At 37.8% G+C, this 25,966-nt stretch overlaps 1 protein-coding gene across 9 annotated transcripts in view, besides 1 other annotated feature; it reads left to right on the top strand.

Annotated features, from left to right (window-relative positions):
* Positions 1 to 25,966, top strand: part of RAPGEF5 (Rap guanine nucleotide exchange factor 5) — a 238,919-nt gene that overhangs the window by 176,154 nt on the left and 36,799 nt on the right. For 8 of the 9 annotated variants that reach the window (NM_012294.5, XM_017012837.3, XM_047421084.1 and 5 more), the window contains 5 exons: positions 13,853 to 13,931; positions 18,460 to 18,604; positions 20,386 to 20,483; positions 23,116 to 23,146; positions 24,113 to 24,191. In NM_012294.5, coding sequence (NP_036426.4) covers positions 13,853 to 13,931; positions 18,460 to 18,604; positions 20,386 to 20,483; positions 23,116 to 23,146; positions 24,113 to 24,191 — 432 coding nt within the window. Of the gene's footprint in view, positions 1 to 13,852; positions 13,932 to 18,459; positions 18,605 to 20,385; positions 20,484 to 23,115; positions 23,147 to 24,112; positions 25,044 to 25,966 lie in introns of those variants that run through there. The other variant, NM_001367603.1, reaches the window with a different exon arrangement.
* Positions 1,755 to 2,257: an enhancer, noted in NCBI's record as "NANOG hESC enhancer chr7:22218362-22218864 (GRCh37/hg19 assembly coordinates)". NCBI's record gives its function as "activates a minimal SCP1, AML or CMV promoter by ChIP-STARR-seq in primed H9 embryonic stem cells {active_cell/tissue: H9 hESC(primed)}" and the evidence as "EXISTENCE:reporter gene assay evidence [ECO:0000049][PMID:30033119]".

Here is a 25,966-nt window from a genome sequence, read left to right as displayed (position 1 = left end):
TTCTGTAGAACAATTTTAGTTAACCCAAGTTCTGCCAATGCTGATTGGCATAGTGTGCATATCTCAGAATTATTATGACAATTTGCACTGTTTGATAGTCTCCCAGGGAAGGTGTTTGTTCTTCCAAACAAACCAACAAACAAACATCCAAGGCACTGTGTCTTCGTCAGCACATTCTAGAAATCCACAGTAGTGAGATCAGGATGAATTAATATTGTTAAGTATTCTTAACACTCCTTGAATGTACCTTTCCTACTTTTGATAATTGAGAAAATTGAGAACCATATCATATTGCAGATCGTGTACTTGAGCTTCTGGAAATTTTCAGTGTACATGTGTTATTTGTGAGTAGGCACAGCTGCATATAACAGAAAAGCTCTAATGATGATTTAAACATGGTATAAATGTATTTCTCTCTCATGTGAAAATAAGTATGGAGAAATACAGTCCGCAGCCGATAAAGCCACTCTGATATCAGTCAGTTCTGAGATTCCTTATTTGAACTTGATTTCCTGGGCCCTGATGGACACTAGCATAACTGTCCAGGCAGCAGGATGAAGAAAGTCATGAAGAGCACACTTGCCCGTCACACACGGCTTCTGCTTTTACCTCATGGACCAAAACTTAGTCTTGTGGCCACATCTAGCTGCAAGTGAAGCTGGCAAATATATTGTATATTGTTTTGTTGTGACTTTAAAATATCAGGGGAGCAACATGCCCAGGGAGAAAAAATCAAAGTTTGATTCCCAAAAAAGGGGCAAATGGCATGTAATTTTGTAAATAGAAGCTTATGTTAAGTTTGTTTTGATATTGTAGACCCAATACCATAATTATGTATTTGTTTCTTCAAAGAAATATGGACATACTATGTTTTAACGCATTGTATAATTGTCAAGGGAAAGGGGTCCTGATTCAGACCCCAAGAGAGGGTCTTTGTGTCTCACGCAAGAAGTAATTCAAGGCGAACCCATAGAGTAAAGTGAAAGCAACTTTGTTAGAGAAGTAGAGAAACGAAAGAATGGCTACTCCATAGGCAGAGCAGCAGCTTGAGCTGCTGGACTAAGGATACTTATAGTTATTTCTTGATTATATGATAAACAAGGGGTGGGTTATTCATGAGTTTTTCTGAGACTCAACGTTCCTCCCCTTTTTAGAACATATGTGGTAACTTCCTGATTGTTGCCATGGCATTTGTAAATTGTCATAGTGCTGGTGGGAGTGTCTTTTAGCATGCGATTGTATCATAATTAGCATGTGATGAGCAGTGAGAACAACTGGCGGTCACATTTGTCACTATCTTGGTTTTGGTGGGATTTGGCTGGCTTCTTTACCACATGTTGTTTTATCAGCAAGATCTTTGTGACCTGTACCTTGTGCAGACGTACTATCTCACCCTGTGGTTTAGGATGCCTTAACCTTCTGGGAATGCAGCCCAGTAGGTATCAGCCTTATTTTACCCAGCCCCTATTCAAGATGGAGTCACTCTGGCTCAAATGCCTCTGACATAGTCATTTTTTTAAAAAGCCTGTGAAGTGGTTTGGATTATCTCTGATATCCTCCTCAACAAGTGAATATTTAGAATAATCTTACATATGCTTAGCATGCAAGGTTTAGTTAGCTATAAGTACTTTTCTTATGTCTGATTTGAGCTGTTGATTTCATGTTTGAGAATTATACATCATTCACTCTAAATTCTTGTCATTGTTAGAAACATTTTTCATATAAGAAATTAAACATGAACTAAGAAATATTCCATATATTATTGCTTGGAAGAAGTATTATTTAAACAATGGCACAAATTAATAAATCTACTCTTATAGAGTAGATTTTAGTATCTAATTGTATATAATATTCTATTATTGTGACATAATAAGAAATACATACTTGGTCTCTGCCACTGGGCTGGAGCTCTTAAAACCATGGAATTTCATGAGTGATAGAAGTGATAGGAGCATCTTTTGTTTTAGTATTTGGTTTTAATCACTTATTCTTAACACAAGAGTTTCTAAGACCTTTGGAATGTCTAGAGTGATAGGAGAATCTTTTTGTATGCTAATATGATGACTGGTGGCTGGGGTCCCTAGATAGCTTCAGGATGGGAGCTGGTTGCCAGAAAGACAAGGCATGACTAGAGGGATAGAGCTTTTGGTCCCAGCCCTCAACGTCTGGGGAGGGGAGGGAGATGGAGATTGACTTAATCACCAGTGGTCCATGATTTAATCAATCATGCCTACCTAATGAAGCTTCTATAAAAACTCTAAACAATGAAATTCAGAGAGCTTCCAGGTCGGTGAACACATCCATGTGCCATGAAGATAGTGAACCCAAACCCCACGGAAACAGAGGCTTCTGTGCTCAGGACCTTTTTAGACCTCATGCTGTGTAACTACTCACCTGACTGTTCATCTTCATCTCCTTTATAATAAAGCAGTAAGTGTAAGTAAATGTTTCCCTGAGTTTAGTGAGCCCTTAACAGGTACTTGTCAGACCGCAGAGGGTGGTTGTGAGAACCCTGATATAGAGCCCACTGGTCAGAAGTACAGGTGACAACCTGAGACTTGTGATTGGCATCTGAAGTGGGATGCAGTCTTGTGGGATTGAGCCCCTGGTCTGTGAGGTCTGTGCTATCTCCAGGTAGTGTCAGAATTGAATTATAGGAAACTCAGTTGATGTGTTGAGAGTAGAAAAATGGTTTTTTTTCAGTATAATCTTTCATATAGAGAATTCATCTAGAAAGGAGGGAAGAATTTTATGATTTGGCCTTTTGTAAACAATTTTTTTAGTTTTTACCTTTACATTTCAATTTTAAAAAATATAAATATGTGTAACTGGTCAGTCTTAAAAACATTAGGAATTTGTGGACCATTTCAGTCCTTCCACGTGATTGTCAGTTCTACCTTTTGAAAAGCAAATTGGCTGATCTCGTATCTATTTGCTATGGCCAGGTGTCCACTAGAAAATAAAAAACAAAATAAAATTTGAGTAGGAATAAAGGAACTCCAGCATCCTGGCACTTAGGAAACAACTTTATAGGGGCATCTTTGGTGATTTAAGACCAATGAAAGACCACCTTCTTGTGTCTATGACTCTACTCCCGCTTCCAAACCTGGAGATTCTGTTACTTTCCTGCATTTTCTTTTCCCCTAAACCGGATGGGTTATTTGGGTCCACACTCTCGGGAGAGCATAGTGTAATGAAAGAACCAGGGCTGGGACTTAGGCCCTTCAGACATCATCTTGCTGAGGAGCCCTGGGTGGTTATTCTCTTTATTCATCTCAGCCTCAGTGCTGTCACCTCAAAAAAGATAATGTGCAACCTACCTTCTAGGGTGGATATGAGGGGCGCAGGCCATGTAGGTAAAGCCCTTAGTGTTAACAGGTGTGGAATGTTGGGTGGTGATTCCGTGATTATCATTAGCACTGGCACAGTTTGTGGTCAATAAAGGGTGGCTGTTTTGAGTATATTTAACTAGCGAGGCCGCTATCATTTTCCTCCCTTACTTTTTCTCCTTGCCCATTGAAGCCACTCTGGCTACCTGGTGCATGGCCAGATAGATATGGTTCAAAACAAATTTGGGGCTCCCTAGAAAATAAAGACAAAATAAAGTTTGAGTAGGAATAAAGGAACTTCAGCATCCTGGCACTTACATGGAAAACAACTTGATAGGAACATCTTAGGTGACTCAAGGCCAATGACATATGCTGGGTAGGGGTTGGGGTGTGGAGGACTGCCCAGACATTCACAGGAGTGTGATATTCATCAGCCTGGGGTGTGGAGGATGCCTTATGTGGTCATTTAATTATCTCACCAATCAGATTCCCAAGCTCTGTGAACAACTTTCCATTCTCCATGGCAGAGGGCACAGTTGTCATCCCTTAGTCACAGAAGTTCAGTAAATGGTTGCTGACCAAACCTTTCTCTGTGACCCAAAAACATGAGTCTTCCTTTCACCTGTGTGAGAAAGAAAGCAGCTGTGTGTTATTGAAAAGAACACTAATAACAGCTCTGGAACCAGAACACAGAGGCATGTCTCCTGTCAGCCACTGGTTGATATATTTGTCCTAGCAGTATTTTTAAATACAGGCAATACATTAAAGTAAATTTTCTTGTGTTGAAAATTGTCAGTAAATGTAAGATCCTGTGCCAGATTATTTCGAAAGAACCTCAATTGGCCAGGCGCAGTGGCTCACGCCTGTAATCCCAGCACTTTGGGAGGCCGAGGTGGGTGGATCATTTGAGGTCAGGAGTTTGGGACCAGCCTGACCAACATGGTAAAACCCCACCTCTGCTAAAAATAGAAAAAAATTACCCGGGCATGGTGGTGGGCTCCTGTAGTCCCAGCTATTCAGGAGGCTGAGACAGGAGAATTGCCTGAACCCAGTAAGTGGAAGCTGCAGTAAGCAGAGATCACACCACTGCACTCCATCCAGCCTGGGCGACAGAGCAAGACTCTATCTCAAAAATAAACAAACAAACAAACAAAAAGCCTTAATTGTGCTTACTTATGTTTACTTTAAATTAGTTTTGTAGAATATCTTCTTATCTTTAATATAACCTAGCTATCTTGCCAATCCTTAGTCTTAACAGAGGCAGTTGACTATTCATTGCTAAACTTGGAAGAAAATAAGTCTGTCTAGAATTCCTAGAATTTCTGTTAACCAACTGATATGGTTTGGCTGTGTCCTCACCCAAATCTCATCTTGAATTGTAGCTCCTACAATTCCTGCATGTCATGGGAGGGACCTGGTGGGAGGGAATTGAATCATGGGGCAAGTCTTTCCCCTGCAGTTCTCATGATAGTGAATAAGTCTCATGAGATCTGATGGTTTTATAAAGGGGAGTTCCCCCGCACACGCTGTTTTGCCTTTGACACGCACACACCATGTAAGACATGCCTTTGCTCTTTCATCCCCTACTGTGATTGTGAGGCCTCCTGAGCCATGTGGAACTGTGAGTCCTTTAAACGTCTTTCCTTTATAGATTACCCAGTCTCTGGTACGTCTTTATTAGCAGCATGAGAACGTACTAATACATGAAAAAAAAGTAAATACAATGTTATTTTTCTGAAATTTAATGCTAATATTAACATTGGGAATGATGATGTATTTCAGGTTTTGAAAAAAGTTCATAATACAGAACCTTTTGGTGCTTGAGAGGTAAAAACATTACAATGTCCTAAGTTGATTCAGTTGTTAGAATGACTATTAGTTTGCTTGTAATAACCATATCTCAGGCTTCTAATTTAGGATATTATGTTTAAATTAATTTTCTTTGTTTCCTGAAAGTTAAGAACGTTTAATGGACAAACACTAAGGAACACAGCTTGTATGTTTAGAACACGTGTGTGATGTTAATCAGACAACCATGCAGCAACTCCGAGAGGTCCGAGTTGGACCGAGTGAATCTTAGAGCTGGATATTAATTTTTGTTGGTAGATGCTGGCAGATTGGTGCTGAAGGCTTCGTGCCCATGACAATTCCCACATTCTAATCTGTACAGTTAAATAAAATGATAATTGTATTGATTATTGAGAAATTTTTCATCCCAGCTCCTTGTGAGAGCAACTGCTCTTACTAAACAATGAGCTCTACAACTTTAGGAGGAGTCTTTGGAGAAAAAAAGAAAAAACAGTGTGATATATGGTGTGACCACTGATTATCAGAATATCCTTCGTTCCTTTTAACTAGAGTATGCCCCCACCATTCACCAAGGGGCATCTCTCTAAGGTCATCAAACCAGGGACTGTCCACATAACAAATCCAGTGCTCTTTGAGTCCTGAGCCCGATAAAGCCTCTTCAAGCAGCATTTAACACTCATTTCCAATCCTTTTCTTTCTTGTTGGTTATTACATTTGTGTCCCGTTTGTTTGTTTACAGAAAGGAGGCTATTGACTGTACATTCGTTTCTCTTTATTCTGTTTCTCTCCTCCTTCTCTTTCCCCTTCCTTAACTCATCTTTCCCTTACCATCGCCCAAACATGAATATCCCACTCCCTTAGACTGCTGCTTATTTTTCTGAGAAATCATGTTGGCCATAGCCATCCTCTTTAGGTACTGGCTCCCACAATCATAACTGTAACCCTCTTTGGCAAGCTCTGGTTTTTGATATTTTTTCCTAATAGCTTTCCTTAGAGTAACCTGGGGAACCCAAGCTCAGCAAGTTTAAAAGCAAACTCACCTCCCTCCCCTTATCCTTCCCTTATCCAGTCTGAGTTCCCTGATGAAGCAAGCTTAACTCATATCTCTCTTGTCACTTCTGGTCTTGAAAATCTCCCTTCACTTCCCTTTTCCTGTGGAATAAGCCCCAGGCTCCTTAGTTTAGCATTCAAAGATCCTTCAGGAATTTCCTCCAACCTATTTCTTTAGCTTTACTTTTCAATTATACTATGTGATCTCTTCTATTACTACTACACAACTGTGCTGTAGACCAAGACTTACCAACTTGCATGTCCACAGGCAGTAAAAGTGAGTGAGTGAAGACTGCCAGAGCAGAAGGGTGATGAACTGGAGAGTGCCTCCTGCATAAAGTAGGCAAGTTGGCTCTAAACATGGTTGCCATAGGAGATGTGGCCCTGGTGTTGCCAGATCTTCTGACTTTTAAATTTTGTCAACTCACAGAAAGCATCTCTAGGGACTAAACAAGACCTGCAAGTCACAAGACCACAGGTTTGTGACTCAGCCACAGACCCACCCACATCCGTTGCTTTGCTCACATTTGCTTCTCCTTTTCCTCCTCCAATTCTTCTTGGAAATTCATAGTTCTCAAGTTTTTGTTGGCGGATTGGTAGCACTTGGAGAATTGGGACAAGGTTGAAATAATTTTATTTTATAAAAATAAATAATAGGTAGTATTTATCTAGAGTGCCTAGGGTATACCAGGCTCTCTGCCAGTTGCTTTAGATACACTGTCTTATTTAATCTTCACTGTAACTCTGCTAGGTATAGATATGATAGCCACTTTACAGGTGACTTAACTAAGGCCTAGAGAGATTAAGGACTATGCATTAGGCTACCCCGTTAGATTTCCAGCTGTCTGTTTCCATAGTATTCTTTATACTGTTTTCTGAGCTTCCCAGCATACTTGGCAGACGCATGCATATGCCATGAATGGGCTGCAATTGTACCTAGACACTGAGAGCAGCTGATTGGGATGTAACAACAGGAGCTATGAGGCCGCTCACCGCTCTTAGTCCCAGGGTGACCTGCACCCTTTCTCTGAGTGCCGCAGCCTGGAGAAGGTAGACAAGCCCCCTGTTTATTACTCTATGCCCCTCCAAGTAACATTTTTAAAAGGCAGTGTATAGAATTAAGCATAGCTAAGAACGGAATACCTGTTGTATTCAAATCATTCTTTCTTGAAGACGGAATGACAGGATTCTAAAACTGAATTTTACAAGTTAAAATAAAAACAGATTTGATTATTTGAAGAGTGTCCCCAAGCCCTGTCTGTAGTAAGTTCCTGTCATTTAAAGGGGTGACTTTTAAGATTTGATATATAAACAGCGTTAAATAAGTAAGCACTTTTTTTCTGCCACAAATACCTAAAAATAAAGCTAGATCTCAAGATTTGGTTATGTTAGAATGGCTAAAGAAAACGCTATGGTGAGCCTGTAAGAATTGGCAGGGATTAAGTGAATTTAAGAGCTGTAGTAAAAAGCTGCGTTCGAGGTCGTTAATATCACTTTCAGAAATGTAAGATACACAGGGAAAGAAGCATTGCTTTTAATGGCATAGCACTTTAATCTATTATTCCAACCTGAACATGAAAAAAATTTTATTTGTGCTTAATCAAATTACATGGTACATTTTGGCACTGCTTCTCAAAAAATAATGGCAAGTTGTAACATTCCAGGACCAGAAATGGGCCCTTTCATGTTCAAAGCTTTTCTTGGCTTCTTAAAATAAAGGTTAAGTAGAATATATTTTAGAGTGCCTTAAATTCCATTACATCTGAAGTAGAAATACAGGTGAAACAAAACGGCTAATAGTACTTCAGGGAATATGAGTTAATACAGAAATGTTGAATATTCACATTACCATACTTGGATTAAATGGCTACTATAGGCAGTTGCCTGTCAAAATTCTTTTAATTTGCTTTCTTGGTAATTCACTTTAACAGCTGAGTGGTTTCATTATCGCAGTGCATTTTGCTTATGAGTGTTGAAAAAATAACCAAGGTAGATTTATATAATTTTTCCTACGTAACGCTATACTTCTAGTGATTTTTAGACTTCAGGGTTTTGTTTTTGTTTTTTGTTTTTATGTTACAAAGAAAGCATTAAGCTTAGACCTTTTGGTAACATTTGGATCAGTTTTTAAAATTTGATTACATTTATATGTAACAGAACTCCATGAAAATGGTCTGTACCAAACCTCTTACTATTCTATCTTGACACAACTCTAGCATGCTCTAGGGATACTTGTGTTTTGCAGAAATAAAATGGGAATTTTTAGAGCTTCATATACTTAAAATGAGACAGAGAAAAATGTTTTAATTGGTACATACAAGAGAAATACATTCAAATAAAATTAAATAAAATTAGATAATTATTTTTATATGACCTAAAAATTAAAATAGGCCGGGCACGGTGGCTTATACCTGCAATCCCAGAACTTTGGGAGCCCGAGGCATGCAGATCACCTGAGGTCAGGAGTTCGAGACCAACCTGGCCAACATGGTGAAACCCCAGTCTCTACTAAAAATACAAAAATTAGCCGGGCATGGTGGTGTGTGCCTGTAATCCCAGTTGCTCCAGAGGCTGAGGCAGGAGAATAGCTTGAACCCAGGAGGCGGAGATTGCAGTGAGCTGAGATCATGCCACTGTACTCCAGCCTGGGTGCCAGAGTGAGACTCCATCTCAAAAAAAACCCCCAAAAATTAAAATAGTAGCAGATGATAGGGAAAAGTCCTATATGACATCAGTATAGCTAATTACATGCATGGATTTCAAAACCATTTCTATATATATTTTATTTCAAGTTTTATAATAGTTAAAACTATAGAAGTATTTACCTTCCAATTTCAATGATTATCAAGATGTTACTTTTTTACTTGCAAGGATGTTTCTTGTATTCAAAAAGCCACTACGAAAGTATTATTTTATTTTGGAGTGGGGAGGATAGTCCCAAAAATTTATTGATAAGCCAATAATTTAGGATTAGATTTAGTAATTTACTTAGTGCATAGAATATCAAAGAAAATGGCTGGCAACGTGGCTCATGCCTGTAATCCCAGCACTTTGGGAGGCTGAGGCGGGCAGATCACCTGAGGTCAGAAGTTTGAGACCAGCCTGGCCAACATGGTGAAACCCCCATCTCTACTAAAAATACAAAAATTAGCCGGGCGTGGTAGCGCACACCTGTAGTCCCAACTACTCAGGAGGCTGAGGCCGGAGAATCACTTGAATCTGGGAGGTGGAGGTTGCAGTGAGCTGAGATCGTGCCACTGCACTCCAGCCTAGGCAAGAAGAGCAAAACTCCATCTCAAAAAAAAGAAAGGATATGAAAGAAAAAGGTTTTGTGTATTAACATATGCATATTAATATGCTTAGGTATTCACAAAGTTAGAAATCAAAATGAATACTTTTTTTACTCAGAGTGTTAATATGTATGGCAACTATGAATTTGTTTAAATGAAAGATACTTTTATGTATACAAACATGCTTTTCTGCCTGTTGTCTTAAATTATTATTAAGTACTATGTAGTGTAATAGATAATTATAGTGTTTTAATTTGGATGCCAGTGGATTTGTAAGTCTTTCTAAATGGCTATTGTCGGCTAATAGTCTTCAGGGGATCATTCATATAACCATCATGGTTCTAAAAATATCTCTAAATACCAATGGGACAGCCTCTTTTTTGGAAGCATGGCTGTTATAAATTGCACTTTTATTTGAAGTGCATCACTTTGATTATAGTATTTTCATTCATACCACTCAATTACTTTCAGAATCTGCACAGCAGAAAAAAAAAAAAACATGAATGCTGGAAAAGAATAAAGGAAAGCTCTTTGTATAGAAAAATTTAGAACAATATAGTAGTTAAATAGAGAGATATTTGAGTTATGAGTATTGGGAATCTGTTCTATTCATTAGAATTTTTAACTATTTTCTTTATTAGGACTTCAACTGGAGCTGTTTTTATATAGCCTCATTGTTTTTATTTTAATTAATATTTCTATGACAGATAATTAGGTAAATGCTGTTGAATTTTAAATATGATATTGGCTTAGGAGAAAATAAGCATTTCTGGGTCAAAGCCCTTAACAAAATATTGTCATATGTGAGCTGATTAATTGAATTGAATGCCAAATGGGTTTGCCACCATCCAACCAGACTCTGGTAGTCAGTTCATTATCTAAGGTTGTTCTGGAATGGAATGACTGGTTATGTCAAAGTTAATGGTTTAATGGTGTTCTTTTTAATCTCAGCTACTAATGAAGTAAATCTTGATGAGAGAATAGTTCTAACCTCATTAAATGCAGCTAAGTGTAAGAACACCCCAAAGAGTCTGAACCTCTGTGTCACATCCAGCATTTTAAATGCCAACTCCCTCTCAGTGCTGTCACCCAATGGTTTCTGCGCACTGGTGGCTCCTATCTACAAGAGCCATTGAAAACCCTAAACTAGATTCAAAGCTACTCTGTTGGCCAGGCTCAGTGGCTCACGCCCGTAATCCCAGCACTTTGGGAGGCCAAGGCTGGCAGATCACCTGAGGCCAAGAGTTTGAGACCAGCCCAGCCAATATGGTGAAACCCCATCTCTACTCAAACTACAAAAATTAGCTGGACATGGTGGTGCATGCCAGTAGTCCCAGCTACTTGGGAGGCTGAGGCACAAGAATCACTTGAACCTGGGAGGCGAAGTTTGCACTGCAGCCTGGGTGACAGTCTCAAAAACAAACAAACAAACAAAAAAACTACTCTGTTGTCCTTGCTGCTTGTGTCTAATATTGAGTGCAAAAAAGAAACAGCTTAATTTTTTTTTTTTTTGAGACAGAGTCTCTCTGTGTCGCCCAGGCTAAAGTGCAGTGGCATAATCTTGGCTCACTTGCAACCTCTGCCACCTGGGTTCCAGCCATCCTCCTACCTCAGCCTCCTGAGTATCTGGGAAGATTCAGCTTTTTTTTTTTTTTTTTTTTTTGACACAGAGTCTCGCTCTGTTGCACAGGCTAGAGGGCAGTGACATGATCTTGGCTCACTGCAACTTCCACCGCCTGAGTTCAAGCCATCCTCCTACCTCAGCCTCCTGAGTAGCTGGGATTATAGGCATATGCCACCACACCCAGCTTTTTTTTTTTTTTTTTTAACAGTAGAGATGGAGTTTCGCAATGTTGGCCAGGCTGGTCTCTAGCTCCTGGCCTCAAGCAATCTACTCACCTTGGCCTCTCAAAGTGCTGGGATTACAGGCGTGAGCCACCACACCTGGCCAGATTCAGCTTAATTTCTAATCAGACCTGAAAGGTTGAGGATTTCCATCAACCACATTTAACACAGAGAAATGTTGTAATTTGTAAACATTACTCTTCAACAGGCCCAGAGGAATAGTTTTCAAATTGTATTTCCAAAATATGCTTGGTTTCCAGCTAATATGCAAGTGATTGATTTTAATTGAAACTATTTTTAAAAACTGTAATGAAAGGCACACATTATATATTCCAAATTTCTCATTAGGATGACCAGTGTTTAACTTGAGCTGCCAGGTTAACTTGTTTGGAGACAAGTAAAGTAAACCTTCCCGTGCCTTGTTCATATATTTGAAACTTCCATAAACAGAGACTCTAGTAGGGGGCCCCTGGCTCTTCTGCGTACACAGGCTGTGCATGTCCATTCATGTGACATTGTTGGATCAGGCACGCCACCACAGCCTTTTTGTGCTAGGTCTAATTTATGCCCAGCAAGGCCCAGGTATATCTGTTTAGGAATTCGCTTTTGCCATAGAGTAATAGTAAGTTAGACTACTGATTGCTAACATATTGCAGTGTGATACAACAATGTAAGTTTAGACTTTTAAAAACATGTTTTAAATCAAATAAGAAAATTTGTCGAATTTATTATTTTGACAGGGAATACTATGAACTTAGAAATAAAATATCTTTCAGATAAATTCTGTTAATACTCTTCATTAACACCCTTGGTTCATTTTAATTACAGGCATCTTGCAATTAAAAAGCAAACTTTTGAAAAACCTACCATTTGCAACCACTTACCTATGTGGATTAGGATTTCCTTGATATTCTGCAACCAAGCAGAAATAAGTTATGCCCTGCAGCTAATATAGAACTGTAGATGTCATCCACAACCTCGTATATCAGAGTTTTGTGTTCATAAATATTACCTTGTTTTTCTGATTAACTTTTAAAGTAAATATTACTGGTTATTCCTAAAAATTCTGGAGATTTTCTTTCATCCAGTCTTCAATGTAGAGCTATAGGGCTCTATACTGGGCAATTATTTTTACTTACACATCATCATTATAACATGTAGATCTTGGAGACCATAAGCACTATTGAGTGTATGTCTTAGTCAGCTCAAGCTGCTATAACAAAATACCATAGCCTGGGAAGCTTAAACAACAGACATTTATTTCTCACAGCCTGGAGGCTGGGGAGTCCAAGATCAAGGTGCTAGCAGATTCAGTGTCTGGTGAGGACCTGCTTCCTGGTTCATAGGCCACAGTCTCCTCGATACTTGTATGGTAGAGAGATGAAAGGAGCTTTCTCAGGACTCTTATAAAGATAGCAATGCCATTCATGAGGGCTCCACCCTCATGGCCTTATCCAATCCTAATTACCTCTCAAATACCCCCTCCTAATACATCATACTAGGGGTAAGGTTTCAACATATAAAGTGGCAGGGGTGGGGGTGTTGCAAAGGACATAAGCATTCAGTCCATAACAACAGTACACAAGCTAATTACTCTAATAATTTATTACTGTTTTATATAACTAAAAATGTGATGTCTGGAATGTAAAAGATGAAAATTAAATCATATTGTAAAATGAATTTTAAGTTAAGGAGACTAGATAATCACTGTTGTGGCAAAATCACCACTTTACATTCTGCATATAATCTTTTGTACCATATTGGAAATTACATTGAAAGTCAGAGTTTGCCTCTTTAGCAATTCCATATTGTATACAAACTGAACTCTTCCAAGAACACTTAAAGCACAAAGATGATAACAATGTAACCTGGTTTGGTTGGTAGAAAAAAGAAATTAGGAAGAAGTATGTTGTGATACATTGTACCTGCTCTCCAATTTTAACTGGACTCAGTTCTGTCTCTCTTCAAGACTAAGAAAATCACTCATCACTTTCCCAGCTTCTTAAAGATGCATTTAAGAGATAAAGGTGAATGGCCTTGGAACCTGATATGTGTCTTCTGGGTTTTATTATTCATTGTTCTTGCCCTAGACTTAAGTAAATGGCTTTGGAAAAAACCTTAATTTATTAACACATGAAGGCTTTATTCCCCGTAGGACTTGAGTGTACACCTCAGAAGTCTTGTAAAATTTATTTTTTAAAGCACATTATTTATGCATTTGTTTTCTATATCATCTTTACCCACAAATATAAATGAAATTTCAGGAAAACAAGATGATAACAAAATTGTATGTTTAGAGAGCTCTGCAACAAAAATATCTTATTGCTTGAGGCATTTGATATAAGGAGTTTTTCATATCTTAATTTTAATAAATAATGTCTTTCCTGGCTAAAATTCTCCTAATCCCTCCCACAGCTATCAATATTTATCATATTTCTGCCATGCACATGGTTCTGGGGCCCAGATAAGCAGCTGCTCTTCTTATCCACCTCTTTGCTTACCTTGTGTTTGTTTTTTTTTTCTTTGCAGAGACCCTCCTGGATGACTTCCTTCTCACGTACACTGTCTTCATGACAACTGATGACTTGTGCCAGGCTCTGTTAAGGCAATATCCTTCATTATCTTCAGGCTGCTGTGTCCACTTCCTCTCAGACAGATGTCCCACGTTAGGAATTAACTGCCTTCCTTAATTTATTCAACCCCATAGTAGAATGTGGATATGTTAAATATTAATGTAATGATATCCAAGGTAGAAGATGAAATGAGACAGACAGGGGAAACTGGAAATGTGAACAGCTGTTTTCACATTCTATGTTGTGGCTATATTACACTGTTTATATTATGTTCGCTTCACATCTGTGCCTCATGATTGCTTAGAAATCTGGAGGCAAAATTGGCCTGCTGGGTAAACCCCAGAGTCAAGAGATTGTGTGGAATGGGAAGATCATGGAATAAATGGACTTAAAGGAGAATCAGTTAAGTGTCAGACCACTTGTGAAGGAAAATGCACATATGTGATATAATGTTCCTGGCAAGTATCTCAGGGGAGACAGGCCATTCCCCCACATGGGAGGTCGAACCTAACCCCTGGAATCAACTGTCATCTTTTCACAGCTTTGTCACTGCATGCTCTCTGAGAATGATGGATGTGATTAGAAGGTTAATGACCAGTTAAGGAAGCCTTATAATTTTATTCACTAACTAGAAGAGATGCAACATAGGATCATTGAAATGCCACAAAAGAAATCCATGTAAACTTACTGAAAGTCTCCAAATGATCTTCTTCCTTCACAGTATTTAATGTATTCAGACGCATTTTAAGTGTTTAAATAAGCTGTTGCTGTGCTGTTTTTATTAAATGAAACTGAAGATTCCACTCTAAACCACATGAAAATTTTAAGGAAAATGGATTGCTTTTGTGTATACTAAAGTTCTATTAAGACCTAATGATGGCTGGGTGTCGTGGCTCACACCTGTAATTCCAGCACTTTGGGAGGCCAAGGTGGGAGGATTGCTTGGGTCCAGGAGTTCAAGAGCAGCTGGGCAACATAGTGAGACCCCATCTCTAAAATATATATATGATATATATATATATGATACATATATATGTATATAATATATATATAATATACATATATATATTTGGTATATAGATAGATAGATATTTGGTGTATATATATATAGGCATACCAAAACTAGCTGGGCATGATGGCATGCGCCTGTGGTCCCAGCTACATGAGATGCTGAGGGAGGAGGATTACTTAAGTCCAGGAGGTTGAAGCTGCAGTGAGCCGAGACCGTGCTACTGCTCTCCAGTTTAGATGACAGAGGGAGACTGCCTTCAAAAACAAAAGACCTAATGATAATGCTTATTTAATATCCTTTCTCTGTTAAATAATTGTTACGTGTCTCCCAACTTTACAGCATTTTCCCACCTAAAAGAATACTTTAAAACTTCATAAAGGACATAAAGTAACATCTCTCTTAAAAAAATAAATAACTGGAAATGATGATTACTTTTAGTGCTTTACTATATCCTATGAGCAAACAAAGCTATAGTCGATATTTTGCCACTTTTTAGAACCAGTTCATAAAATTGATCTTGAACTGTTATTTAGTTTTGAATTTGGAAAGTTTCAATAATATGTGCAGATTTCCTTCACAGCTTTCAAGTGGAGTGTTGCTAAGACATTTAGCAATAGCGATAAGATTTTGAACATCTTTCTTCAAAAGTGTTTTGGAAAAATATCTGTGAGCTAATTTCATTTACATTTTAATGCTAACATATTTCTAAAACAATTACCACCCATTAAGTAATATAAAATATACTTATAACAAATGAGATGCCTTTAAACTACATTCTTTAACTATGATCCTAATATTATTTGTGATTGTCATTTAATAATTTAGTGTCCTATAGGATGTCCCTAAACAATCTCTAGAACTTAACTTGGATATATATGTTTTGAGTCTTTGACTAAGACATTATATACACAAATTTAGTTCAGATTTTTATGAGCCTTTTTACCGATAATCAAAACCCATGAACTCTAAAACATTTTAAGCCAGAAGTCTTTCTTTATGATTGTTTCTGTATATTTGCACTCTGCCTTTTATGAAATAATACCACAAACACAAAGGGAATCTATATTTAATGTGAGATATTTTTATGCACATCTTAGTGAAGATGTGTTACATATTCCACTACAACCAACGTCTTAGAAGTGGTCTAAATTATTTGTTTTTTCCAGTGGTTTTAAAACATTATTTATAGATTAAAGCTATTTGTGCTGGTTTTAGATATTTTAGATAAGTATTTTTATTGTAATAGTATTTAATAGCATCATAAAGAGCATTAAATTCATAGCTCTGAGCCAGCTAATATTCTGTGCATTACATAGAAGTTATAACTCTCACCACATGCCTTCCCATTATTTCCATCAGCAGCTAAATTTATAAATCAGTGTAATCTAGCATAGACAAAATGTAAAAGAATGTCTGTATCCTAATATTGGAAATCAGATTAATACAAATGCAAATTTAACCGGTAAATATATTTTAAATATATATCTTGCAGGGAGGAAAACAAGGTAAAGCAGATAACTATGAATGGAGAATGGTTGAAGTGTTGCTTCTTGAAATTGTTTTATTCTGCTAGTCCATAATCATAGAACATATATATGCAGCTTGACTACAAAGTTCATATCTTCATTTACATATGATGACCTAAAAAATTGCATTTCTTAATTTTCTTGATTTCTTTTCTTTATATTAGTGAAGGTATTATATTCACAGGAAAAGAAGAGAAGAACATTTGTTTAAGGGGAAATAATGTAAGATAAATCTTTGAGACAGGTCTTGCTCTGTTACCTAGGCTGGAGTAGAGTGGCTCGATCATGGCTCGCTGCAACCTCAACCTTCTAGGCTCAAGTGACCCTCCTGTCTCTGCATCCCAACTAGCTGGCTCTACAGATGCCCATCACCATACCCAGTTAATTTTTTTCTTTGTAGAGATGAGGTCTCACTTTCTTTCCTGGGCTGGCCTTAAACTCCTGGGCTCAAGCAATCCTCCTGCCTCAGCCTCCCAAAGCGCTGGGATTATAGGCATCAGCCACCATGGTTGGCCTAGATAAATTGTTATTATATTTTGCCTTTCAAGAGAAAAACTAAAAGAAATAGAAACAGATTTTTTTTGTGTTTGCCTGAGTTTATTTCACAGGTGGAAATCAAAGATGGTCTTAATGTATTTTTGCAGGATGGGGAGACATTGACTAAATTATATTTTAAAATATTAGCAAAGCCTGAAATAAAGTTTATTCCAATTTTGCAATTGTATATTAGTGTTAAAGAATATATAATGCTGTCCAACAACCCTCAAGTGTTTGATGTCATAGCATTCCCTATTCCTAGTCATCTTTTTAATGTGTCCAAGACACTCAGCTTATCATTTTGGAGACAACAAGAATAGATTGGTTTAGAATATGCCAAGCTGCTGTTGCATTCCTAGTCATTTAAACACTTTGCCTTTGAGGTTGTTATTTTTATGTAATTTTAACAGCATAATTTACATATGGTCATCGTGTATAAATTAGGAAATGCTAATAAGTACAATAAAAATAATTCATATGCTCTAAAATCTCATTACCTTGAGAAACCACTGTTAACTATTCAGTATATATCCCTCCAGATAGTGACATTAATCATATAAATAAACATTGTTAACAGAAGTAGATCGTCCTAACATATTCTTTTCTTACTTGCTTTTCTACTCAACAATACATTGTGCATATTCTCTGTCAGTAAATGTACTGCTGGGCCATCATTTTTCTGGCTGCTGAATAGTCCGTTAAATGCATATATAATAACTTAGTCAACTGTTCTCAGTTGCTGAGGCATTTAGGTTATTTCCTTTTTTTATTTTAAATGAAATAATTTTCATTTTATTTTAAAATGAAATAATTTTCATTTTATTTTAAAATGAAATAATTTTCATTTTATTTTAAAATGAAATAATTTTCATTTTATTTTAAAATGAAATAATTTTCATTTTATTTTAAAATGAAAATTAGCAGTCCCTTTTACCTCTGTGTTCACACATGTATCCAATGTTTTCAAGTAAGTTCCTAGGAGTGGGCATTTGAATCATGTTACAAATTCTGTTGCAGAAATCTATACTCATTTGGAACTACTTTAGAAGCACCTGGTTTTACAGAATGTGAATTTCTGAGGACTAGACAGCATCTGGCCTCATTCTGACCTAAAATGTATTGAAATAGTATTCACCTGTGTAGTGAGGCTAGCTCTCTTCTTAGAGTCACTGTTGAAATTAATGGACCACCTAGTATCTCCTTGGGCTGGCATTAACTGCATGTTGCCTATGAAACCATGTCAGCAGCTGTCAGTGAAATGGTCCAACCCTTCACTTCCTGGCTGCCTACCGAGTATACTTCAGTCATTTTCCTCAGTTTACTTTTGCTCTTCTCAGTGCACACCTTTTGCTCTCCCTACGCATATTCTATTCTTCCTGCATGTTTATACACTTGTATGCCTTCACATATTTTGTAAAAATAAGAGTAAATGGATGTCTTCATATTTTAAAATTTTCAACAATATAATTTTTTCTTAACCATTTGCACCTATTCTGCTAAGAAGTATCAAGGCAAAGAGGAAAACTCAGACGTTCCGCGTAGGAAACGTAAAGTCTTGCATCTTGTTTCCCAGTGGATTGCTCTGTACAAAGACTGGTTACCTGAAGATGAACATTCAAAAATGTTTTTAAAGGTAATCAAACATTTCCAGATATTCTTTGATGCCAAATAACTGATTCTATTTTTAGTTATGCATTTTAAAAATCTCATTTGTAGGTAACAGTCATTCAGCTTTCTTGTGATAGTCAAGTTGTGATTCAGAGAATATTTAAGTTTATTTTGACTTCTGAAGCTTGATATTCTCTATCTAAAAAGTCATGGAAATTTTGATTGCTAATGAAATAATTAAGGAAGGTAAATCAAAACATTCAAAATTTGATATAGCTTAATATGTTGATATTCATTATAAGTTTAAAGTAACCAGTCCTCTATATGTAATATTTGCATAAAACATTATTTATCATTTAAAAACTATATTGACAATGTATGTTCTTTGAAACATTTGTCAGACATGGTATACTTTGAGAATTTTAAGCAATAATTTGTAAAATAGATATAATCTAGTTTTACATTTAGAGTGAGACAAACTGATTTATTTTTTCTAATTAATAGGCTTCAATATCTTTTCAACACAGATGATTATCTGGAGAGATGATTAGTAAGACAGTTGGATTCCTTTGGCCACCAAAATCATATTAAGTCTGCAGGTTAGGACAGAGAAGGAATACAATGGAATTCTAGCAAGGAAGAGTTCTAGTTCAGAGTAGGCAACTGCCTAAATAGACTCAGCCTTTCATGAAGGAAACTACTTTGAATTCAACATTCAGTTGTCATTTAGGCATCCAGTTAAAAACGAGTCTAACCAACTCTTTAAACTCATGTTGTTTGCAAAGCAACTGCTTAATTTAATTCAATTGACTTTTTTCTCCCAAATGATTATGTGGAATTGTGTGTGTGTGTGTGTGTGTGTGTGTGTGTGTGTGTGTGTGTGTTGAGACAGGGTCTTGCTCTGCTACCCAGGCTGCAGTGCAGTGACGCAGTCATAGTTCACTGCAACCTCAAACTCTTGAGCTTGAGAGATCCTTGCACTTCACCCTCCTGACTATCTGGGACTAAAGGCATGCACTACCACACTCAGCTAATTTTTTCTTTTTAGTAGAGATAGAGTCTTGCTTTGTTGCCCAGGCTGGTCTCGTACTCAGCTCAAGCAGTTCTCCCTACTCAGCCTCCCAAAGTGTTGGGATTTACAGCCTGAGCCACCACACCCAACCTATATTATTACTATTATTTATTTATTTGTTTACTTATTTATTTATTTTTTGAGACGGAGTCTCGCTCTGTCGCCTAGGCTGGAGTGCAGTGGCGCGATCTCGGCTCACTGCAAGCTCCGCCTCCTGGGTTCACGCCATTCTCCTGCCTCAGCCTCCCGAGTAGCTGGGGATTACAGGCGCCCGCTACCACGCATGGCTAATTTTTTTTTTTTTTTTTTGTATTTTTAGTAGACACGGGGTTTCACTGTGTTAGGCATGATGGTCTCGATCTCCTGAACTCATGATCTGCCTGCCTCAGCCTCCCAAAGTGTTGGAATTACAGGCGTGAGCCACCATGCCCGGCCTATTATTTTTTAAGATATAGAATGGGCTGGAAATCTCTAGTAGCCAGCCAGCTAGGGATCTCTAGAATTCTCTTTCCAGAATTTCCACCTATGGCCCTGAAAGCAGATAGAGAGCCATGGCAGTTGAGAGAGGAGCTGCGAGTTATGATCCCATTCTGGATCTCATTGGCACCTGGTGAAACCCGTACATTGTCCTGAATCCCTCCTTATTTCCTGTGTTAGGATAGCCATGGTATGAGTCTTAATCCCTACAAAATGGGCATTCAACCACTGAGCTCTCATTTGTCTTTTTTCTCCAGACCATATATAGGAATGTACTGGATGATGTTTATGAATATCCAATACTTGAAAAAGAATTGAAAGAATTTCAAAAGATACTTGGAATGCACCGTCGTCAGTAAGTATTTCATTTTCCTAATTATAGTTAATGAAAGAAAACAGCAGCAAATATGATAGAATTTGGAATGCCTTATACATAAAAGTTGATTTTGAACATTTTGACTCAGATTCATCTTGATGCCTTAGCTTTTCTAGTAGTAAATTGTATGTTTTGTTCTTATAACTCAAAATGAAAGAACACGGAATTCAGCTTATTGACTATTGTTTTAACCCTGTTTTATATAGTAAAAATAACCTGGGCCATAACAACCAGGTACGTAAAAACAATTAGTAAATTATTACTTAATTTTAAAAGTCTGTTTAACTTGTCATTTTGGGGCTTGTAACTATCTCTATGGAATGGGGAGGAAAAGTTTTATAAATAGGTCCCAGGGAGTTGTGGAACATTTTATTTTATTTTATTTTTTGAGACATAGTCTCACTCTGCTGCTCAGCCTGGAATGCAGCAGCGCAATCTCGGCTCACTGCAACCTCCACCTCCTGGGTTCGAGCGATTTTCGTGCCTCAGCCTCCTAAGTATCTGGGATTACAGAGGTGCACCACCACACCTGGCTACTTTTTGTATTTTTGGTAGAGATGGGATTTAGCTATGTTGGCCAGGCTGGTCTTGAACTCCCAACCTCAGGTGATTCGCCCACCTCAGCCTCCCAAAGTGCTGGGATTACAAGTGTGAGTCACCACACCCGGCCTGTGGAGCATTTTAAAAGCTCAATTTTATGGGTTCCCTGAGGTTTCTTTATCAATTTAGAAAGACTTTAAAAAGCCATTTACTCAATGACTCTTGGCATGTCTAAGTGTCCCCTAGGTATCTGTCATTAATCTTTCAGATTGGCAACACCCAACTTTACTGTTAGCGATATTACCATTAAGTCCCCTTACTAATTTTGGTAAAAGAAAACATCAAGTCATTCAGTTTTCAGATTTAGCCACAGAGTTCATCTAAAAGGGAAAATTGTTATCTGATTCACAGTGCAGTTTCTATTTCGTAAACATAAAGTACATACATTGTCAAGTTGTGAAAAGCTTCTGTTAAGATTTCAACAGTCACAAATTGCACCTCTCAGAAAATGTTAATTCAAGCCTTTCAGATTACTAATTTGTGATTTAAAGCTTGACTTAATTTTAGTAAAGGGAGACCTCATTGCAAATTAATCTGAGGTAGCAAACCATGTGTATAGTCCTCAATCATCAAAATCTTACATTGAGAGATTTAAAAGTAAAGTGCAAGTTAGCACTGTACCTTAGAGATGGATGTTGTAAATGCTGGTGGTCTTCTTTTATTGCAGTCTACATTATGTTATGTTTCCATAGCCTAAGACTTATATGAAAATATGAACTAATGAATGAAATCAAAAAAAGAAAAAAAGGACAACCTTGTCCTCAAAATAATTCCCCATATGGAAATTGCTCTGTGCTATGAGGCAGACCTGTTACAGCTGGGAAACTTTATTTCATGGTTTAATACATGTAAACACATTTCATCAAATACATTAATGGAAATTTAATACATTCCATTTTAAAAGCTACACAAAAATGGTAAATAATAAAGTAAAATAAGAAAATGATATTAAGAAATGATTCTTGGCAGGCACAGTGACTCACACCTATAATCCCAGCACTTTGGGAGTCAGAGGTGGGAGAATCACTTGTGTCCAAGAGTTTAGGAGTTTAAGACTACCCTGGGCAACATAGTGAGACCCCCATCTCTACAAAAAATAGAAACTTAGCTGGGCGTGGTGTCACATGCCTGTAGTTCCAGCTACTTGGGAGGCTGAGGCAGGAGGATCACTTGAGCCCTGGAGGTCAAGGCTGCAGTGAAGAGTGATCACGCCACTGCACTCTAGCCTGGGTGAGAGAGTGAGACTCTGTCTCAAAAAAAAAAATGATTTTTGTCTATTTTTATAAGATTATGAAATAGCTTTAGATTCTAGAGTAAGATTCAAGCCCTAAATGTAAAACTCATGACTTTTTTTTCTCTAGCCCCAGTACACAAATAGAGGAGAAAGTGTTTCTTTCTGAGAGCAAGATTGATACCTTTAATTTATAGTTCACCTAATGATGTATGAAATTGGCCCCAGTACTGGCTCCTTCATAAGTGGAGCTGGCCTTCAGAGGGCACTTGAAGGTGGGCATCTGCGGAGATGATCAGAGATGGGCAGAGTGTTCCCAGTTCCACCACACAGAGACACATCCTGGAGAAGATGTGCCTTGGCTGAATGACTTAGCTATCTAAATAGCAATAATTTCACCTAAAATCTGTCACTATCACTGTATGAGAAAACTTATTTCTATGGACTGAATATTGCAATTTTAAAAAATCCTCATTTCTGTGGACTGAGTTCCCATGGACTGAGCAGATCCAGTTCCTCCCTCACTTCTGAGCTTTACTTTCTGTGGGTAGAAGGCAAAGTACATCTGTTGAATCCATAACTTCTTTACTTCCTGGCTCATTTGAAATTCAGAGCCCAATGTCAAATGTGTTGTACATAGTGAATTAATGAATACTGTGTTTTATTTTTTTTAAAGAGCAAAATCCTCTGCCTAGTGCTGGAAAATTAGTCTTCCGTAACAATAACTGCATTATTCTGGGTTTGAGACAAAGACTGACTTCTTGCCATTTTTCCTTTCAGCACTGTAGATGAATATTCACCACAAAAAAAGGTAAGCAGATGCTTCTATACCTAAAATTAGGTGATCCGGTTTGGAGACCTTGCCTTGCCTCCCTTGGCGTGTTTCATAATTAAAATGAATACTGCCTCGAGCAGAACACGACAAGGCGGGGCGCCTGGGGCTGCAGCTTCCCTGCGCTTTCCTGCTTTGCTTTAGTTATCCCTGTGCTGGTGCAGATCCGATTTTAGCTGTGTACCCTTGGCTTTTTGACATTCTGCTGATTTTGTGGTGCATTTTAGAGTCTTGGGACTCCCTGCTATCCCTGGAGTGATATAAATTTGAATAATGTTTATGTCAAAAAACAAAATCCAGGTAGAAGGAATCTTGACTCTAAGAGGAAAGAAGTCTTGTAAAGAAAATATTTGCACTTTTAATACAACCGAAAGAGAAGGTAGCAAGTGGGAATGTGTTCTCAGTCCAATTTGATGAGGGAGAAATATGGACTGAGATGTCAGGCACAAGTTTGGGAGACACAGCTATATCAGGTGGATAATCATAATGAACAGCATGCCTGTGTCCCTTAGGAAAGTCATTGTACTACAGCAGAGGTACTGAAACCATCTCAAAGTTGCTTCCATGAAAAATGTAATAGCAGAGGATCGGATTGTGATAACTTATACCTTATAGGTTAATGTTGGAATGGGGAAATGATGTTTATCTCAGGAGACTCTATGGATGTTTGTAATAGCCAGATGTGAAAAATCATGTTGCAGGGAATAAATATAGGGGCTTTTGGCCTGCTGCTGGCCTTAGCCCAGGCCCATCAGATTGCTCAGAATCTCCACCACCACTTGCATTAGTTGAGGCGACTCCCAGTTTATTTCTCTAAGATTGGATGGGTGGATTTCATATTAAAAAAAAATTTGGCTAGTTCTTTTGGAACATATTGTAAACAGCTATGGTTTTCCAAAGGGCAGGAATGTATTCATTCATTGTTCTCTTTCTCCCATCTCACAGAATAAAGCCCTTTTCCACCAATTCAGTCTTAAGGAGAACTGGCTCCAGCATAGAGGAACTGTGACTGAAACGGAGGAAAGTGAGTATGGTTTGAAGTGAGGGTTTGGGGGTGGGCAGCAGTTAGCCACCATTTTTCTCCTACATTGGCATATCAGCCTGACTAACCTTCATTTCCAGCTGTCACCCCTCAGATAAGCACGTTAGCCTCAAACAGCATGGTTTTTCTTTTCTTTATTTGAGCATTATGGTTTTCTTAGATCACATAATACTGTCCCAAGCACCAAGGATACTTATAATTTGGGAAGCAAGGAAAGGAGACAATGCCTAGAGCCTCCTTGCATTCTTGAGAAGAGGTAAAAATGAACGGGAGACTCAGCCTTTTCCTCCTAGAACCATCTCCTCCCTGCCTTCATCAGCCCATTGTCTATGACTAACTGGAAGGATCACCAAAGTCAATGTGCAGATTTGGGCTGAGTCAGTCCATGACTCAGTCCACGAGAAGAAACTCCTGTGGAGAGAAGGCTGTACGGTAGAAGCTCCTGCAAGGCCAGGCTGTGTGGGCAGTGCTGCCCATCTACTGTGTCCTCAGTCACTGCTTATTTGCGTGAAATAAGAAATATTACCAGTGGTTTTCTCCTTTTAGATAAAGATTGAGTCAAGCACAGAGCTGGAAAACACAGCAAATTAAAATTTTAATGCAATTATAACTCACAGACTCTCTCTTTTGCCTCATCTTTCTTCATATGCTGAAATTCTGAGTGTGATCATTTAATATTTGCCCAATTTCTGGAACTTGTAAAAGAAGTCACAAGGATGCTTATTACATTAGATAGTGTTTGCATATAATGCTGCTGATACATGGTTCTGTTGGCTCATATTAAGTGTCATCCGTACCAAGTGAAAGAGAAAATAAAATTATCTAACTTCCTAATTCATTCGTTGCTGACCTTCCTTGCCCATTTGTCTTAAAGTTTCATCGTGTAGTTTTCCAAGCTGAGCTGCAAAGAGGCAAAGTATTTCGAGGCCCCCAGACTCTTTTTATCAGTTTATTTAGCAAGATGTAAACTTACCCTGCATATAGTGGTTTATAGACCAGATTTTGCCTTGCTTAAAAATTCCATCTTTCTATGGAAGGAGGAAAGCCTTTTTCTCTCTCACTAGTCTATTGGCAAAATACAAAACAACTATTTGTTACATGCTGTTGTTTTAGTGACGTACCCAACCAAACCAAATATGTCAAGTGTCTCCTGGTGGTGTGTTTACTTTGAGGTTCTATACATATAAACTCATAGTTAGACTTTTGCTTCATTTGTATTTCTATGAAAACATTCCTGGGTTTATTTTTGTGGTGCCAATTAAACTGCATATAAAATTTCTCCAGAAGCTTCACTCTCAATTTTTTTGCAACACCAAAGAGTAGAATATCTAAGTATATTATTGTCCTTCTGTCTATTTGAAAGAAGCTAGTGCATTTTATACATTTATAGTAGCTGATATAAGAGGTAATGTGTCAGTTACTTCCATTGCTATTAAAACAGCTTCTGCTATTAATATCATAAAGAAAACATTTTTCAGGACCCATTCACCCTGATAGTGATAATGTCCTAGTAATAATTATTAGCACCACAGACAATAAAAAGGAAATTAAAAAGACTAGAAATGTGACCTCCATTTGGAAACTAAATTCATCACTACCTTGATGGGAGAAATGGAGTCATTCTTAAATGACTGAGAAAGCTGAACTCAAAAACCAAGGCAGATGACAGATTTTTAGATAAGCTTATGAGAATTCTAATAGCAAAATACGGTGTTCTTGATTGGGCCACTGAGATTGTCCTGAAATGGAGTGTAAAG

This window comes from Homo sapiens, chromosome 7, assembly GCF_000001405.40.
Source record: "Homo sapiens chromosome 7, GRCh38.p14 Primary Assembly".
In the NCBI taxonomy this organism is placed as follows: Eukaryota; Metazoa; Chordata; class Mammalia; order Primates; family Hominidae; genus Homo; species Homo sapiens.
This window is presented reverse-complemented; position numbering and strand designations above follow the sequence as displayed.